General features: G+C 35.4%; 1 protein-coding gene across 4 annotated transcripts in view; it reads right to left on the reverse strand.

The window, feature by feature from the left end:
- Nucleotides 1–19,709, reverse strand: part of TRPS1 (transcriptional repressor GATA binding 1) — a 260,480-nt gene that overhangs the window by 187,137 nt on the left and 53,634 nt on the right. For all 4 annotated transcript variants that reach the window (NM_001330599.2, NM_001282903.3, NM_014112.5 and 1 more), the window contains one exon: nucleotides 8,241–9,370. In NM_001330599.2, coding sequence (NP_001317528.1) covers nucleotides 8,241–9,370 — 1,130 coding nt within the window. The remainder of the gene's footprint in view (nucleotides 1–8,240; nucleotides 9,371–19,709) is intronic.

Raw genomic sequence — 19,709 nt, forward strand, 5'->3', positions numbered from 1 at the left:
AAGGTAAACATTCCCTACAAAATGTTCATGTAGAAAGTCTTTCAATAAAATAGAAAGTAAATAAGGAATAGGAAATTATTTATACAAATGTCAATGGAATTGAAACTGTGGCTAAAATGTATCTTATTCCAAGACTTGATAACTGTTCTTGCATAGTATTCAGAAGCATTAGTTCCGAAATTTCTAATAAATCATGTATACAAATAAAGGTAATATTGCTTTGTGAGGTTTTATTTGTTTGTTTGTTTGTTTGTTTGGTGAACTATAACATCCTGGGTAACTTTTTGTCTCATAGTGGGTATTTTCTAATTGAACTATCATGTTTATTTCAAGGTATTATAAGCAACTGATTTATTAGGTATTATTTTTAAAAATATGACACATAACATACACAAATTTAAATGTAAGATAGAGATTGAGCAGGAGCTAAATTAATTTGACTACCTACTGCAACCAATGTCAACTCTTTCAGTCTGATTTTACCCATTTTACGTCTGGAAGTTGCAAGCACTGTTTAAAAATTTTAAAATGCATTCGTAAATCTCCTAATACACAGTCTTGTCATCGCATACACTACCAAAATATGTGTGTAGTTTTCCACATTTTAGCCAACAATGAACATTTTAATATTTGTACTAGACCATAATTATATTACTGAGTTTGTAGTAGTTCTTTCACAGTAAGTTATTTAATAGTGAGATTGATCATTCATTCATATATTTACTTGACATGGGCAATGATGAGAATTGATGCATTTTTTAATTTTAAAGCTGTACACTGTATGTTAGTGACATACAAATAAATAAACACACACATATTCATTTACATCTAAGTTCGCAAACAAATTAAAAACTGAAGCGATTACAGAATCATAGAATGTGATTTTACATAACTGAATCGAGATCTATGCGTGTGTAGAGAGGAAGAGATTCTATATGGATAGATATAGATATGATTACATATGATAAAGAAAGTACTATTTATGGTACAGTAGAGTATATGTATATGATATACATGAGTATCATATACATATATACTTATATGTATGCATACATATATACATATATCTATGTGCATATATCATATGTATGTATACATACATCTATGTATGTGTATATTTCAGATGTATTTATCCATGCATGTACACATATGTATGTATATGTATGCATGCATATGATATTCATATGTATATCATAAACATATAACATGAAAATTTGTATAGTTTTATCTTTTGAATTTATATAAAACACTATCCCACTGTGACTTGTCTTTATCATCTGTTTTTATTCCGTCAAAATTATTCTTATAAGATTCATTTATGTTGTAGTCACTTGTCATTTATTAAATTCACTACTGTAAAACATTCCACTGCTTGAAAATTCTACAAATAAATTAATCTTTTTTGGAAAGACAATCAGAGTTTTTTCCTGTTTTTATTTTGGACTGACTTTGTTTTGGTTGTTTTGTTCTTTCTAAAAAATGCAATTATGAACATTTTTGCACGTTTCCTAGCAAACCTATGAAAAGGTTTTCTTCTGAAAAGTAAAATTATGTAGTCACTGGGAATATGAACATCTGATATTGCCAAATTTTGCCAAATTTGCCTTCCAAAGTAGTATGTTCCGACCATTTCTATCCCTCATAAGGTGTTTTATCGTAAAATCTATGTTTTCTGAGATTAATAAAGGGATATAAAGGGATCTCTTTCTTTTTGTTTGGTTATGATTGGCCCTGTATAACTTTATCAATCCTTAGCTTTTTGTCATTGAGGTCTCATTTCATTGCACTGAGTCAAAGGAGATGTTCTATGAGATACTGTTTTTTTGACATTTAATTTCTTTTTGGCTTAATATGTCTCAATTTTTAGAACTGCTCTATATGTGCTTCAAAAGCATGTACATTCTCTAATTGTTTGGTACAGAATTTGTATATTTTTATCAAATCAGGTGTGATAATTTGTTGCTCAAATCTTTTCAATTTTGAAAAATTTTTTGTGCTTAACTTTTAATAAGGAATTTTCCTAAAACTTTATCATTGTGAGTGTGGTGTGTCATGTTTTCCCTGTAGTTCCTCTATCACTTTTTGCTTTACTTATTTGTATTTATGTGTTATGTATTTAGAACCATTGTACTTTCTGAAGAAGTTAAACCTCTTATTATGCAATGATCCCTTCTTTCCTCCATAGGCTATTTGTAATAAATTCTTAAAATTGTATGAGATTAATAAAGATACCTCAATTTTCCTTTAGTTTATATTTGCTGGTATAACTAAGTCTATTCTTTTCTTTTGAACATCCAGAGACTTATGTTTCAGGTGTATATACAGTATGCAGGATACAGTTACATCATCTGATATCTTTTCAGTGGAAAAGTTTAACAGACACAGGTTAAGACTTTTGATATCTACAATTTTTATAGATTTTACTTTAAAATGTCTACATGTCTAACACTTCCCACATATTTTCTCACCATTTTTTAAAAAGTTGATTGAATTTTATGGGTGTTCTTTATTTCATCATTCCATTTTTTCTCCTCTATAGTTTTGGAAGTTATGCATTCATTTCCTATTCTTTCATTAGTTATCCTTAAATTTTTCCAAGTATGTATAACAAAGTCCTAGCTCGCTAACTCCCAACAATTCAGGTGTCTTAGAATACCTTAATTCTAGTCATTTTCCCTTCAAACTTACATAGTAGCACTAAGCAATACCTTAGTCTTTGTCGCCCAGGCCAGTGGCATGATCATGGCTTACTGCAGCCTCGACCTCCTGGGCTTAAGTGATCCTCCCATCTCAGCGCCTGAGTACCTGGGACCACAGGTAATCACCACTATACTCAGATCATGTTTTTATTTTTTGTTTTTTTTAGAGACGAGATCTTGGTATGCTGCCCAGGCTGATCTCAAACTTCTGGGTTCAAGCCTTGGCCTCCCACATGCTGGGATTTCAGGTGTGAGCCACTGTGCCCTGCCTAGTCTGTTCCTTTTTGAACTACATAAACAAGACAGGCAATGTTTGTTTGGATTTGCTCAGATGTTTCCCTGGTCTTCACTTATCAGAAAATGTCTTTGCTTTGCTCTTATTCTTAGGAGATAGCTTTGATGGGCAGAAAATACAAGGTTGACTATTTGATGTTTTTTCCAAACTCTGAATAATATTCCTCCTTCCTCCAGTTTCCATTGTTGCTAATAAAAAGTCTGCCAACCTAAATGTCTTTTCTGAGTAGTCGATTTCTTGTTAGTCTACAGCTGTTTTTAAGGATGTCTCTGCCTTGGCATTCTCATTTTTGCTACAATGTGTGTGTAACTGAATTTATTCCTATACATCATCCTGCTTAGTGTATGCTACGCTTCTTTGTATCTGAGTATTTATGTCTTTCATTGGTTCTAGAAAATCTTTTTCCATTTTCTCCTCAAATACTGATTACCTACTCTCTATTCTGTACATTTTCTTTCTTCTGGGACTCTGATTAGATGTATGTTACAATAGCTCATTATATTCCATATCTTACTAAATGTCTTTGATATTTTGCCCCTCCTTGCTCTCTCTTAAATATTCTGTCTAATGCCTCATTTTGATTAATTCATTTGCTCTCTTTGTCTAATATGTAGTTTAATCAATCCATATGTTTTAAGTTTCGAGAGTTATATTTCTCAATTAAAACAATGTTATTTGTTAATTTTTTGGTGATCTTGATTTTTTTTTAATTTTACTTTAAGTTTTGGGGTACATGTGCAGACCGTGCAGGTTTGTTACACAGGTATACATGTGCCATGGTGGTTTGCTGCACCTATCAACCTGTCATCTAGGTTTTAAGCCCCACATGCATTAGGTATTTGTCCTAATGCTCTCCCTCCCCTTGCCCCCGACTCTCCAACAAGCCCAGTGTGTGATGTCCCCCTCCACACCGTGTCCATATGTTCTCATTGTTCAACTCCCACTTATAAGTGAGAACATGCGGTGTTTGGTTTTCTGTTCCTGTGTTAGTTTGCTGAGAATGATGGTTTCCGGCTCCATCCATGTCCCTGCAAAGGACACCAACTCGTTTTTTTATGGCTGCATAGTATTCCGTGGTGTATATGTGCCACATTTTCTTTATCCAATCTATCATTGGTGGACATTTGGGTTGGTTCCAAGTCTTTGCTATTGTGAACAATGGTACAATAAACATACATGTGCATGTGTCTTTATAGTAGAATGATTTATAATCCTTTGCGTATATACCCAGTAATGGGATTGCTGGGTCAAATGGTATTTCTGGTTCTAGATCCTTGAGGAATCATCACATAGTCTTCCACAATGGTTGAACTAATTTACACTCCCACCAACAGTGTAAAAGTGTTCCTATTTCTCCACATCCTCACCAGCATCTGTTTCCTGACTTTTTAATAATCTCCATTCTAACTGGCATGAGATGGTATCTCATTGTGTTTTTGACTTGCATTTCTCTAATGATCAGTGGTGATGAGCTTTTCTCATATGTTTATTGGCCGCATAAATATCTTCTTTTGCGAAGTGCCTGTTCATATAGTCTCATGTTGCTTGATGATTTTTTAATTGTAACATTCATATCTTTGAATGCTTATTAGTATTTTATAATTGAAAACTCCTGTATCTGAAGTGACTGGGTATATACATCTATTATTTGTGTTTTCTACTGATTTCACACATGATGGCTTATTTTCCTGTCCATATGGTGAATTTTCGTAATAGTGAGCTCATGTAAGATTTATCTGCATCTATCAATATCTTGGAGGTAAAATTTGGAGTACTTTTCTACAGACAAATTTGTGTTTAATTATGCCAGAAGTCAGAGGAAGAACTAATGTAAAAATCCTAGCCACCTTTAAGATCTAAGCTTAAAGCAAAACTCAGATTCGTCCCCTTCTCTCTATGAGTAACTCCAGGCTTAGTCTTCAGATCAAATGCAACATCGACATTGGCATTTGCCCTCAGTGTAACCTCACATTCCAAGCTTACCCTTCACTTCTCCCTACTCTGTGTTTAGTGCACTCTTGATGAAAGGGAGAACAAAGGCTCCAAAAATTTTTCTTACTTTGTAGAAGTCTGGCAATGCATTACAAAATATGTTTTATCTAGTATAGTTGTTTTGTAGGGAAGTAATCCTCCTACTCGTGCCAAAAACCTAAGTTATAACACTGAAAATTTTGATAAGAAAAGTAGCAGTTAATAGAGAGCAGGTACACAGTTGAATTAAATGATAAATAATAAAAGAAATGCAGTGAGAAAACCATTCATGGGTGGAATATAATAACCCAGTTATAGTCTGAGTTAGGGGTATTATAGGTAAATACTAAACATTAAGTGAATGTACTAAGTCCCTGTTGCTGACTAGATCATGTTTGCAGTTCCACCAAGTTTAACTTAGCTCTTAAAGAAAGCACCCATGCAACAGAATCGACACTGAGGTTTTTCACTCAGAGCTCTAGATAAACTCTTCTGCTTCTCAGCTATAGTCATTTTATAGCTAAATGATTTCACATATTATACAGTTCATGGCTTATGCTAATTTTTACTACACCATTAAGTCTTCTATATAAAGCACTCAAAAGCCTAGAATATTTCACAGAAATAACACAGAATTATGGCAGAAGTTTCCCAACATGAATAATCTGAGTAAACAAATTAAATTATAAAGATACTACGTGATAAGGTAAACTTGTCCTCTTATTTTATCTTAAAAGGGGAGCATTTTTAGAAAATGCTTTGATAGCAGATCAAGTTCTAAACATCCACGTGACTATGTTCTTTCACATCTCTGGGGCCACTATTACTGTTCAGCTTTCAGTCGAGTTTCTTTATCTTTTCTACTAAGCTGTGACTTCTGAAATTGTAAGGCTCCAAATTTCAAATATCTCTATAAGAACTCAGAAACAGATTAGAGATAACTACTCAGCACCTTAAAGGATCCCTGGTCAGCCAAACTATATCAGGATTTAAACATAAGTGCAAGAATATTTTAATGCCCTATGGACAAGTGCTATTTCAATTTTTAGCTAATAAAATGCTGAGAAGTTGACTTAAGGTCAAAATGAACAGACAACTGTCATTTGGCATGGAAGCCTAGGTCCTCAGAAGGGTTCCAAGACCATATAATAGTGAAGCATTAAAATGTAACTCACCTGGAAATCTCAGCTTATTCATAACTACTGTGAAGTCAAAAACTCACAGGGATCTCATTTACATAAAGATACTCATTGAACTCCCATTAGGCATCCTGCCACTGTGTTAAATCGTGCAGATACAGTGGTGAACAAGAAAAGAATAGTTCTCTTTTCTCTAGAGCTTACTTTCATCACTGAATATTAACTAAATTCTGACATTATTCAGTAATAGTTTTATTCATATTTTATTTCTTGGGGGATTATTTTGTTTACCTAAAGCATGTGAAAACCCTGTTTTCCCAGACATTCTCAAGCAATGCCTCAGCTGCATCAATAGAAAAACCACTTGTCCAACTGAGCTGGTATCTAGATGTATCAGAATGAGTGCGTGTGCGTGTGTGTGTGTGTGCGCACATACGTGGGTGTGCAGGTCCAAGATGTGTGTGTGTTCTGGCTGGTTTCCTCATGATTAAAGAAAATCATGAAGATTTCTCAAAAAAAAAGTTGTCCTTGTCCTTTTCAAAAAAAGAATGGACTATCTGATTTTTACATCACTCAACACATGTACATGCACAATGTGCACATACACACATATCCACGCTAGTAAAGCTCAGAAAGCAGCTGATGTCTGCGAGCCTCAGAAATAAATTAACATGCAGCTAACATCAGAGGAGCCAGAAACACTCATTGCAAGTGTGAACACATATTTGATGCAGGACTGTGTCTTTCCCAGGGCTGACCTTATAAATTAAACAGTGTAAATCTCAAGTAAGTGTTTTCTGAACATTTTGATTCACTGTGAACATTGGGATGCCCTTCAAATTAACATCTAACATTATGAGCCTATTGTTGGACATGAACTGCTTCATTACTGGTGACTGAAAAAACATACACACACTTGCACTAACACAAAACTTTTAAAAGGAGTGGAAGAAACTGTTTAATATCATGGGATGTAGAAATTGAATAGATTTTTAGACTAGCATATTGGTATAGTAAGTAAAGCTTTCTACTTTGATGCTGAAAGGCATAATAATGAGAAAGTACCCAATGAGCACTAAATAATACCTAAACGCAGGGTACCACCAATGCTTTGCTGAACTAATTCCTATTTATAACCAAGTCTCAGTTTAAATGCTCCTTCCCGAGGAAGTAATTTCCTAATCTACCATATTAGGTTATGTTATCATTATATTCAAACACACTGCCTTGTACTTCATCTTTTATGACACTTATTACTCTTGTAATCATCTAAGTGTCTCATCTTCCCTACTAAACTGTAAGTTCCATGAGGGCACTGACTATGTCTTCTCTTGTATATTCAATGCCTGGTACAATAGGATTTTTGAAATCAATTAATTAAAGAATGAATGCATACATGAAATAAAGATACATATCCTATGCTTATCTCTAGATATTATAAAAGATTAACTGGGAAAGTTAATGTTTATAAAGAGAATAGAGTGAAAGCAGAAGGAAAACACAAACTTCCCACATCCATTTAAGAATCTGGAATAACTCAAGCAGTTTTACCTGCTTGGAGGAGCAAGTCTACATCCAAAATCACACATAGTACAAAAATTCTCACCTTTAGATTACTGTTTGTATGCTAAACAAGGATGTTGCAGAATTGTTCAAAGCCAGAAGAATATATAATCTCATTTTAAAATAAAAATGAGCAACAGGTTCTCAAAATTTTTTTGCAGAATAGAGAATAGGATATATTTACAATAGCATCTTTCATTTAGCTCTGTCAAAAAAATATAGGATGTGGAGTCATATTTAGTAAGGATAAATAAATGGACTACGGTAAATTAGTAAACTCATCAGCATTATTAGAATCACTGTGAATTTAAAAAGACAATCAGTAAATGGTATAACACAAGTATGAAACATGAGCATACAGTCCAAAAGAAGGAACCAAATTAAAATCTACAGTGATCACAGCTGTAACTATATCACCTGCAAATCTGTGATGAACTTTTATGTGGTCTTCTCCTATAACTTCCCCAAGTCATTGGAATCACTCTCAACAATTCCCGGTTCAGCCCTCTTTCTATGGATTTTTTCTATTATTTTATTTGTATATTCCTCCCGACCCCACCCCCCATGCCTCACCTGTAGTGTCGGGAAATCTCTTCTTCCACTTGGGTAATAAAATCACATTTGGTACATGAGTGTTCTTTGCTTTCCTTGACAGACTGCTGCCCATCCGATCCTTGCAGGTGATTTGCTTCTTGTTTGACATCCGATGCTTGGGACTCATGCACACTTTCATAGTGAAAGAGGAGTACATCTACGTCAGGGGTGGTGAATGAACACTGATGGCACTGATGTTTGACTCGCGAGCTTCCAGCCGCCCCAGGAGACAAGTGCAGAAGCAAGAGTGCACAGTGGGAACAATTACTTTTTCTACAAGCAAACGGATAAGTAATTTCTCCAAGGTGCTTTTCTGGGCTGCAAAGTCCTCTGGGACAGAATGGACAGTGTTTAATGGTACACTTGTGAATGTTATGGAGCTGTTGATAATGACGGAGAAGTGGCCCCACTACAATTACATCAGGGCCATGGCTTTTGGAATATCGGAAGTCACAGAACTGACAATTATAGCTCGTTACCATATTATCCTCGGCTCCCTTGCTGGAGAAGTCCTTCTTTTTAGCCCCACTCGAGCTCTTGTCTGTCTTGGTCATTGTCTCTCCTTCTGAACTTTTGGCTAGATCATTCTGATTAATGACAGAGCCCCTGGAAAGCTTATCATTTAACTCTGGATTAAGGCCGCCTGACTGCACTGCTCCGTGCTGCTTGCCATAATGTTCTAGCAGTTTAAGTGAGCTAGATGACTCACAGCTGAAACTACAAAATTTACACCAGTAGTAACTGGTGGCCTCTGTACCATTTTGTCTAGAGGAATCGAGGGGCTTTATGGGCACTGAGTACCCAACAGGAGTGTCATCTCCTGCTTTGACTGTTATCTTGTCCTGCCATTTTCCCAAGTCTCCAGAATCACTGGATTGAAGTGCAGGGATGGACTTGTTAGAGTTTTTCTCTGAAGGTTTTGCAACCTCAGAGGAGGGGAGAGAAGCTTTTATTTTGTTTGGGTGAGTCTGAAGAAAATGTTGTTCTAATTCGGTGGATGAGTTGCCCATATAAGTGAAATTGCAGAATTTACAGCGGAAATACTTGGTGTTCCCTTGGCAATCTGGTGTTTTCCGTCCAATGCCAATGAATGTTCCACCTGAAGTCACCTGGAGAACAGAAGAAATGGACTTTACTTCCAAGGTGTCATTAATTCAATGGGCCCTCTGCAGGGGAGGGGGAGGGTACTGCCAAGTATTCCACATCAAAAAATACAATAGTACTCCTGCTTATTATGAAATCACTTGAATAATCAGAGCCAAATAAATTCACTCTTCATTTCTCAACAGCTACTCTTTGAGAGGCTCATTATGTTATACACTGTAGGCCAAAGTAACAGGTGAAGGTAAGTAATAAATGCACTATAATTTGAAAGACTTAATAATACATTTTTTAAACTAAGAAAACAATTTTCAACACAGTACATTTTACTATTGCCTCCTTCAAATCACATTCCTACAGAAGCATCCAAATCACATGGGATTTCTTTTCAAAAGGTGAAGCGTTACTGTCAAAACTAGAGGCACTTGCTCAAAAATTACTCAATGCAGATGTTCTCCAAGGAAATATTCTGTTCAGTTCCTACAGCAATGAGGCTGCAGGCAAAGATGAGGTCTCTGTTTTAGGTAAAATAAAGGTGCTCCAATGACCACCCAAAATGGCTTATAATTAAAGCACAGTGAAACAAACAAAAAGATGAATTGAGTATGCAGGAAATACTAGCAAAGAAGAACCGTGTAAATAAAGAATTTTGAATGTTTCCCCATCTAGAACAAACAAAAAAAAAGAAAAATCTTCCATGCCTTATTTGATTAAGGTTCTGTTTCATTGCAAAGGGCTCCCAACTTCTCACATGAGTAGGTCATGATGTCTGAATGGTAAAATAAAATAATTCCACCATAAAAAATCACTACAACTCTGCTTTCTTTCCCAAATTATGAAATTACATGGAATCAGGACTATGAAAGCCTTCAAAGGGCACTTTGCATAAAATCCTTCCTCCATTCTCAGTGTGCACCTCAATAGGCAGTACAATTAAGCCACCACTGAGCAGCCAAAATTCAGAGTTAAAATAGAGTTTTTTGAATGAAATACTCCAAAAAGGGAAAACAATTTCTCTTCCAACCACCAGGGAATTTTTAAATTTTCCCAGCAACCAGATGTAATATATTAAGCAAGTGGCATAATCATCTTCTGCCTTCTTCAACAGCTGTTCAAAAATGACACGTGTGATCGCTGTTCATATCCAAATCACTGCATGAGAAAAGTCTCAGGCATCTCAAAATCACGTAAAGGCTCTATTTGAAATGCAAATAATATTGCTGTAGTACACTGAGAGATATGTTTGTACCTCTATTGTACAGGACTAAGATTGAAGTATTCTTTTTGCTATTAAAAAGAGATGTGACCTTGATCAAATTACTTAATCTCTCTGGCCAATAGCTTCTTCAACTGGGGCAACCTCCAAATTTATGTCCAGTATTATAGTTCTAAGAAATGTGCATTAATATATAAACAACTCAACATTTACTGTACATTAAGATAGGATCTTACAGAAGTTTTCCACAGCCTTTAATCAAAGGATGTAATATTTCACATTAGGCAATGTCTATAACCAGAACCCCAATCACATAGATTTCAGTCTGTCAATGACAGAGCATCAACCAGCCAGAAAGCTAAGAATGGGGCACCCTTCCAGGCAGCAACCTGACAATCATTCAATGGTGTGAGAGGTTTCAAAGCCATACACTCAAGGATACAGCACAGAACACTCTAATCTAGCATTTAAGTGACTAAAGCAACTAAAACTTGCACTGAAATATAATTCATAATACTGAAATATAATTCATAATATTGTAAAAATCTCTACATATATTTCCCAATTCACTGGAGGTAAAGAGAAGGTTCATTTGCCAAAAAAAAAAAAAAAAAAAAATACATATATATATTTAAATGGATAGCCATCAATCAGGTTCTTTGTTCCGGAACTTAAACTTGATTCAAAAGGGATAAATTCAGATGTATCCCCTTCTTTAACACAGGCAAAGAAAGAAAGTATGCAAAATCTAGAGATAAAAATTTTCTTGTTTAAGCTTTCACATTGCATCTGCCTTGCCAAGCTTCCCTATTATAAAATGCTTTGAACTTCTGCTTGTTGACCCAAGATTCCCAAGAAACCACCAGGCATCATCACTATTTCTTTGATTTTGCAATCTTTAAGCCTCATGTGCCATGACCACACTGAAAGGGTTGAACAAAGAGCATACATATACTTAAGAAATCCCTAAACATATGATTCTGAAGTGGATTTAAATTATTACTAAGCATCCCAACATACTAAAAAGGTTGTTGTTATTTAAAAACAACCTAAGAAGTCAGAAAACCCAGGCTACGAATCAATACTATCAGGAGAAGGGACTACGAAAGAAGGCAACTTTGTGAAAAATTATCAGTAAAGCATTTTGGTTTAGGATTAACTAAGCTATAAAAAACGAGTTAGGTCTTTGAAGTTGGTGTACGTGTCTAGATGTGTTTTTTTTTTTTTGTTAAACCCAGGGAAAATGTGCCAACTTCATTATTTAAGAAGCTTTTAAGGGCTATATATTTTAATTATGCTGAAGAATGAATACCTTCATACTATTGACTGCTCTTTCAAAAGCCAAGCTAAAAAATGAAAACTCACGGATCTCATTTAATGGCAAGAACAATAATGACACTTCTATAGGTCACATATTTGCGTTTTTGGTTAATATCGGTAAATAATATTAGTATTATATATTATTAAAAGCTAATATAATATTAGAATCACATATTTTAAAACGCAGTTTTGGAAAACATAATGACAGTGTTCTATTCCTTTTTTATTTCAAAAAGAACACCTAAAAGCTCTATTTGTGGCAATTTTTATACTTTCTATACTGGTAGATGTACACTCAAGTCATAGCGAAATATAGATGACATACAACATTTAAATGCCATTCTACAATAAAACATAATTTATTATTTTAGGAGACACTACTGGTGTCTATTGACCATACTCATTTTATTTGCATGCCCCATTTATGCTATTTTAAATCTATTCTTTTCTAGGGTAAAAACAAATACACAGTGAGAACAATTATGCAAAATAAGTGTTTTCAGCAATGGTTTATTGAAACTTATTGTCTGGAAACAGTGCCTACACGTTCATAGAATATTGCAAACTTTTCAAATGGCTGAATCCATCACGGAGTAGGAAAATTTACTGCTTCTTAGCTGTGACTATACTAAAAAGAGAGTGCAAGCAGAATAGAGAGCAGAGCTTTCAAACTTCCTTCTTTTACTAACCAGAACTTTAATTATAACCCTTTAAACCCAGCAGTTCCTTTGGTAAAGACATCCAAATTTTTACAATTATATTAAACTGTAATTTCTGTTTGGGCCAAAAACTACACGTATTTATCCCTCTAATTAGTAGTAACTAAGTGTTCGGCTTGTGTCAGACTCTGCAATAGATATTAGGCATATAATATTGAAGAGGTAGACAACATCTCTGCCTTCAAGATACTTACATTGTAAGATTTAAAAATTGTAGATAAAACCCTTTATTTATTTGTATTTACATCTGCCTGTATTTATTTGCTTCTAGAGGAAGTTCTCTAGCTCAAGTTCTATGAAAAGATACATTATTTAACCTCTTGGAACCTTAGTCTCCTGGCCTCTATGGATACAATACTGTACAACTTGTCATTTTATAGGATTATCGTGAGGATCAAGTGAGAACTATGGATTTGTGCTGTCCAATAGTACTTCCTGAGATGATAAAAATGTTCCATAGCCTTCCTTGGCCAATATGGTAGCCACTAGCCACAAGTAGGCTTAGTAAAAATGAAGAACTGTTTTTTAAATTTACTTTCATATATTTTTCTCAGCATTTCACTAATTTATTTGTAATTAACTGAAATGTATTTATTTTAAAAATTTCTTTTTTAGAGGCAGGGTCTCAGTCTGTCACCCAGGCTGGAGTGCAATGTCACGATCTCCGCTCACTGTCACCTCTGCCTCCTGGGCTCAAGTGAATCTTCCCACCTTAGCCTCCAGAGTAGCTGAGACAACAGACACATGCCACCACACCCAGCTAATTTTTGTATTTTTTGTGGAAACAGGGTTTTGCCATGTTGCCCAGACTGGTCTTGAACTCCTGGGCTCAAGCTAGCCACTTGCCTTGGCCTCACAAAATGCTGGGATTACGGCATGCACCACCATGCCCAGCCTAAAATTTAAATAGCCACATTTTGTTAGGGAATACCATATTAGATAGCACACTCAACAGTAACATGTGCATAGGTAGGATTATTATTTAATAAAATGAATCATTCAAGTAAATTTTTCCTGCAAATGGGATAAAGAGATTACATAGAAGGGAAGTGGTAAATTCATTCAGTGACAAACTCACACACTTGTCACTATCAATATTCTTAGCTGTAAATGCAAAGGTTCAATCTGCTGTTACTAAGATAATACTTCTGTTTATATTCCTTCTTGAGCTACAAGAATAGTCTTATTCACATCTAGAAGAAAGCAGGAGTTCAATGCATTTTGACTGAATGAATGAACGAAGGGAGATGTAAGCAGATGAAAATGTCTCACCAAGGCCCCTGAGTTACCTGAGATTCGCTGGCCACAGTACTTCATGGCACCCTCACCACTGACTTGACCTGGCATACATGGCCTTCTTCAAGAAACTACAAAATGCATCTTTTGTCCACAAGCAAATGACTGACTATGGAGTCCTTTGATTGTGAATTAAAGTTATATAAAAACACCTAAAACAATTAAGGCACAAAAAAGAGTATTTTAAAGTCTTTTTCACTGACTAAGGACTAGCATGGCTTTTTATACTTGATTTTAGCCCTAGTTTTAAAAACTATTCCTTCCATGAAGTGTTTTCCATGGCTTTCATTTATAATTTATTTACATATGTCTTTTTACACACACACAAAAATGTTTTACCGTAGAAGTGAAGAATATAAAAGGGTTGGTTTCTTTCAAGGTCATTAATCTCAGTTTCTTTCTTTCCTCCCAATAATATGGAGCAAAAGCTAACAAGAATAATATCTAAAATAATATGTCAAAGGAAAATATTTCTTAAAGCCTCAGAGCTCTTAAAATGACACTTCAACACATGTACTTATTTTCAACGCAGCAAAGAAAGAGTTGTTTGAACTAAACACAAACCTCTTCTCAGTTGTGGTTCATTTTCAAGTACTATAATTGATAGCAACAGAGACAATTATAAGGGTACTAATTTAAGAGAACTTGAGGTTATGGGCTGATAGTCAAAGAGGTAAAAGCTTAAAAATAAAAAGCTAAGTTGTTAAAAAAAAATCACTGTTCAAATACTGATATTTCGAATAACTTGAAAAAAGTCTGTAAGGGCCGATCTTAGCGGAAAATAACTACAGCCAGAATTAATCTGCTTATATACATCGGGAATTTTTCTGCATGTATAGTGCTTCAAAAAAACATTCTAGAATATAGAGTGTGCTTCAGTGATATACTTTTGATGGAGAATAAATGTTTCAGAATCTCAATAACAACTCAAATTATATGGCATCATCTGACTCTCATGCCATCCATAGCTTATTTCTGAGGTTTATTCCTATCAGTGACACTGTAACAACTCCCTTATTTGGATTTATAATACAAGAGCCAACCAACGGCAGGGGAGGGTACAGGGGAAACCAAAACTCAAACTCCTACACTGGGCACATTGAAGAAGAAAATACTGCATATTCCTCATTATGCAGATTTTTATTATTGGCTTTTTGCATAATAGCAATAAACAGTTTACCCTAAACTGGTTTTCTCATTTTACTCAGTATAATTCTGAATTAATTTTTCTATATTATCTGGTATTTCAGATGACAGAGTACCAATAAATCTTAAAGTCCATCTTAATAGGCCGGGGACAGTGGCTCACACCTGTAATCCCAGCACTTTGGGAGGCCAAGGCGGGCGGATCACCTGAGATCAGGAGTTCGAGACCAGCCTGGCCAACATGGTGAAACCCTGTGTCTAATAAAAATACAAAAATTAGCCAGATGTGGTGGCAGGTGCCTGTAATCCCAGCTACTCGGGAGGCTGAGGTGGGAGAATCGCTTGAGCCTGGGGGGCGGAGGTTGCAGTGAGCCGAGACCATGCCACTGCACTCCAGCCTGGGCAACAGAGCAAGACTCCATATCAAAAAAAAAAAAAAAAAGTCCATCTTAATAAATTGGAAGACAATATTTTATAGGAAAAATAAACAAGACAAAATGCAGTTCAAGTGGGTTACAAAGCTAAGTGAATTCCCCATAGCACTCCTCTACAGCATCCAACCTGCAGGTGCTGCTGGTTCATAATGGAGATATGTCAGAATTGCACATGTATTCTAAAGAGCATCTTAATGGGAAAAGAGAAAATCTAATCTCCGAAAATATAGAACATCCTTCCTCCAGGGAAGGTTGCTGTTTTAACACATCTACTATGTGCCAAGCACTGGAAATACAAAAAGAATGACATAGTCAAAAATCGTAACATGTCTATGGTTTAGCACAAAAAGCTCACAACTAAAAAGACAACAACAATGGAAAACATGCTTCTGCTGAGACATGTAACAGGTTCCATGACAACACAGAGGAAGAGCCCCTAACCCAGACTGAGGAGTCAGCAAAGGCTCCCAGAAGTAACAACTGAGCTGTGGACAGATGAGCTGATATGTGAAGGTTAGCCTCAAAGGCAGTGATCATGAAAGGGCATTTCAGGTGAAGGAAACAAAACCAGTAAAATCAACAGCGAGAGTAAGACAATGCAAGCTGCTCTCAGGAAATACTGAGGAGGGCCGAGGCATTATCAAATCGTTAAATGGAATATGGTACATAACGGTGCTTGCTATGTAATAAGTAATATAAATGTAATAAGTAATATAAATGTGCTAGCCTTGTTCTTACTATTATCCTTTCTGGAAGAATAGTGAGATTTAATCTGGAAAGTTAATGTCTTATTGGAGAGCTGATATTTACATAAGCAAGTATAATTAGATGATATGCTTTTCAACAGAAGTAGTCCCATACTTGCTATAAAATGTAGGACAACTGATCAATAAACAGAATTTTTAAAAATTAAAGGAAAGAAGAAAGAAAGGAAGGTGAGAGGGTGGGAGAAAAAAAGAGAAAGGAAGGAGGATGAAAAAAAGAGAAGGAGAAAGGAAGATAAAAGAAGGAGGACAGAAGAAAAGAACAGAAAAAGAGGCCAAAGAGAGGAGGAAGAAGAAGGAATGAGGAAGGAAATAAAAACAGAAGAAGACAAGAAAGAGCACAAAAAAGAAATCAAAGGAAAGGAGAGGAAGATGAGGAGGAGGAGGAAAGAATAGGAGGTGAGAAGAGAAGGGAAAGGAAGAGACAAGAAGGGAAGATAAAGCTAGAACAACAGAAAAGAAATCAATAAGGATTTACTTGAAAGAAGTGACAGTAAAAGAATAAAGAAGGGAACAATGGGACACACTGCTCAAGTGTTTGGGGCGTGATATCAAACAGAAATCCAAGGTAACTCCAAGATTTCCAGCCTGACTTAGCTGAAAACAGGAGTAAAGAAGAAAGGAGGCAAAAAGAAAGTTGTTGTGGGGAACTTCACTTTTACATATGTTGACTTTGAAGTGCCAATGAATTCCAAGGTGGAGCTTCCCATCAGCTGGAAAAACAGGTCTTGGAACAAACCATCATTTATTATAAGATTCCCAGATATGTTCCTGGACACATGAAAGGATGCAGGCATTCTTTAATCTTATATCAACAGTTCAACTAAACATGAAAGGAGAAATGCTAGGCCAGGAGACTCTGTGAATTCCCAAACTCCTCACTATGTCCCACCCGTCTATTGCTTTCTGAATTCAATGAAATCACACAGCTCCAAGCACAGCTGGAGAATCCAGCACACTCAAATTGGACACTCTAAAGGCATTCTGATTTGTTCTCTGCTTCCACACCCATTCCTGCACTGAATGTAGGCGGAGGATAAAACCTTAATTACACAGCCTTGGAGGACATAAATGGGAATGGAGTGTATCTCCTTAACATGTAATCTGCATGGAAAAAAAACAACCTAAATTGTGCCTGGTAACTAGAAGAGCATAAGACAACTTTCAGACCATCATTTAAATAATAAATTCCTAAAACAAAGTCCTCTAAATGAGGGGAGTACAAAAAAAGTCAAACACCTGGATGAAATGTCCCTTAATTTGGGGATCAAACATTACATCCTTAATTGATTACATCAAAATTTGCACCTTATTCGCTCTACCAGAACTAATTCCTGCAGCAAAAGTACCAGGGAAAAGGAATCACTGTAATTTTAAAAAGATGAGTCAGCAAATTTAATTTTCTTTTTACTGATTTCGAATAGAAGCTTAGTAAGTTCAAATAAGGTAGCATTACACTACACGGAGCAGATAGCAGATAATCTCAAAGAAATCACCCAAGTCCCCAAAATCAACCTCATTCAGAGAGACTGCATCAAAGAGCTCTGATTTATGTCTTCTATCTCCTCCCTTACATGCAATTGGCCTACCCTCTATTGCTTTGCTATTGGCAGTAAACTCAGACTCATGTTTGGCCAGGCCATATATCAGTGTGGTTGTGAAGACAGGCTTCCGTGGCCTGTCTATCATGGTTTACATCCCATTCTCTCTACTTATGCAACTCTGTGATCTTGGGCAGGATACTTTAATATATGCTGTTTCCTTATTTTTTTAAATGGACATAAGGTTAGTGTTTACTTCTAGGGCTATTATGAAGATGAGTTCATTAATACATGTAAAAAACTGAGCTCCACATACACACATAAGAACCCTTAGTAAATTTTAGCTATTATTAGATGTGAATCCAAAATTGGAAAAAAATAAGGGATCTGTACAAATTTTGATTATGTAAACTAAAAGATGAAAGAAGTATGAATCAACTTAAATGTAAGACAGAAAAATAAATTTTACATTTGACTTTCAATTAAAATTAAACAAGGGTTTGTATGATATTCTGAAAACGTATAACATTTGCCTCAAATGTGGATCGCCTGATGAAGAATTCAAGACATCTATGGTCTAATGACTGTCAGAATCAGACTCTACAAAGGAAATCAGAAAATGAAACAGAACAACTTTCTCTCTCCAAACTTTCCCCGTATTGGCACACTACTTGTATATCTGTGTTTCTAACAGCTGCACGTATGCTGTAATTACAATGATCCAAGAAATAAAAAAACACTGAGTAACCTCCTGACTTGAGATGGTTAGCAGAGCAGGCCATAGGAGAGGTAAAAGATTTTCTTAGGAGTTGAATAATGCTAAATTTGATTGAATCCACTGATAACCACAATTTATTCTCCTAAACATTCTGCATAGAGAAAAATACTGATATTCAACAAAATTATACATGTTCCTTTAAATGATAACAAATAAACCAAAAATCAAAGATGATACCAACTGTCATGAACAAGGCCAAAAAAGATTTAACTGTCATGCAGGTAAAGGGATTAGTAATGATAGTTGAACTATTCTACTAGGGTGGCTACATTATTTAGCTCTGCCATCTCCACTGATGAAAATAACCTGGTAAATACCAGAACTTTGCCTTGCTTTATGGCCTTGAGGTGAGCATATGTCTTATTTTGCACACTTTATTACTTGTTAAGGAGACACAGTCCTGAAAAAGAAGTGTGGGTTCATATGCCAAACATTCTGTATTCTATAGACAGTCTGAATTGATAAAAGTCTCATTCACCAGTTTTTCTAAACTGCAATTGTCCTCAACTCAGAAAAACAAAGAAACAGAACCTGCTAAGATCTACAACTTCCCTCCTACTCCAGATCAAAGAAAATGCCAAGGCAAAAAATAAATGTTTAGAAGTAAAATTCAAGACAAGTCAAAATAAACCACAGTAAGATTAATGGTCTCTGATTTTTTTTTCAAACCAAACTGTAATCCCCTGCTCAAACGATTGTACTGATACATGTTAAAGATCTATAAACTCATACAATTAAATCTGTTGAAAATACAAATCCAAAGGATGACTTCCTCTCTCTAAAATCTGTTCTTCCTGCTTCTAACATGACATATTGTGCAACTCTGATAAAAATATTTACAACACAGAAATGTAACACTCCTAGCTCAAACATAAGACAGTACTTGGTAAGTTAATCATGTGATTCTTCTATTAGCCTTAGAATTTCATTAAGGGCCAAAATAAATTTAATAGCTGGAAACCAGTAGCTACCTTCTTAAAGTCCTGAATAATGCAGTAATAAAAAGAATTCACTAATATGAAAAGGCAACATATATATCATAAGCATCTGAACTTGGGATAGCATAAACACTTTCCCGTGGGAAGCACAACTTGACAAGACTCCTACTTTTATAACCTGATCTGAGGGCTAAA

The sequence above is a fragment of the Homo sapiens genome, chromosome 8, assembly GCF_000001405.40.
Source record: "Homo sapiens chromosome 8, GRCh38.p14 Primary Assembly".
NCBI classification, from domain to species: Eukaryota; Metazoa; Chordata; class Mammalia; order Primates; family Hominidae; genus Homo; species Homo sapiens.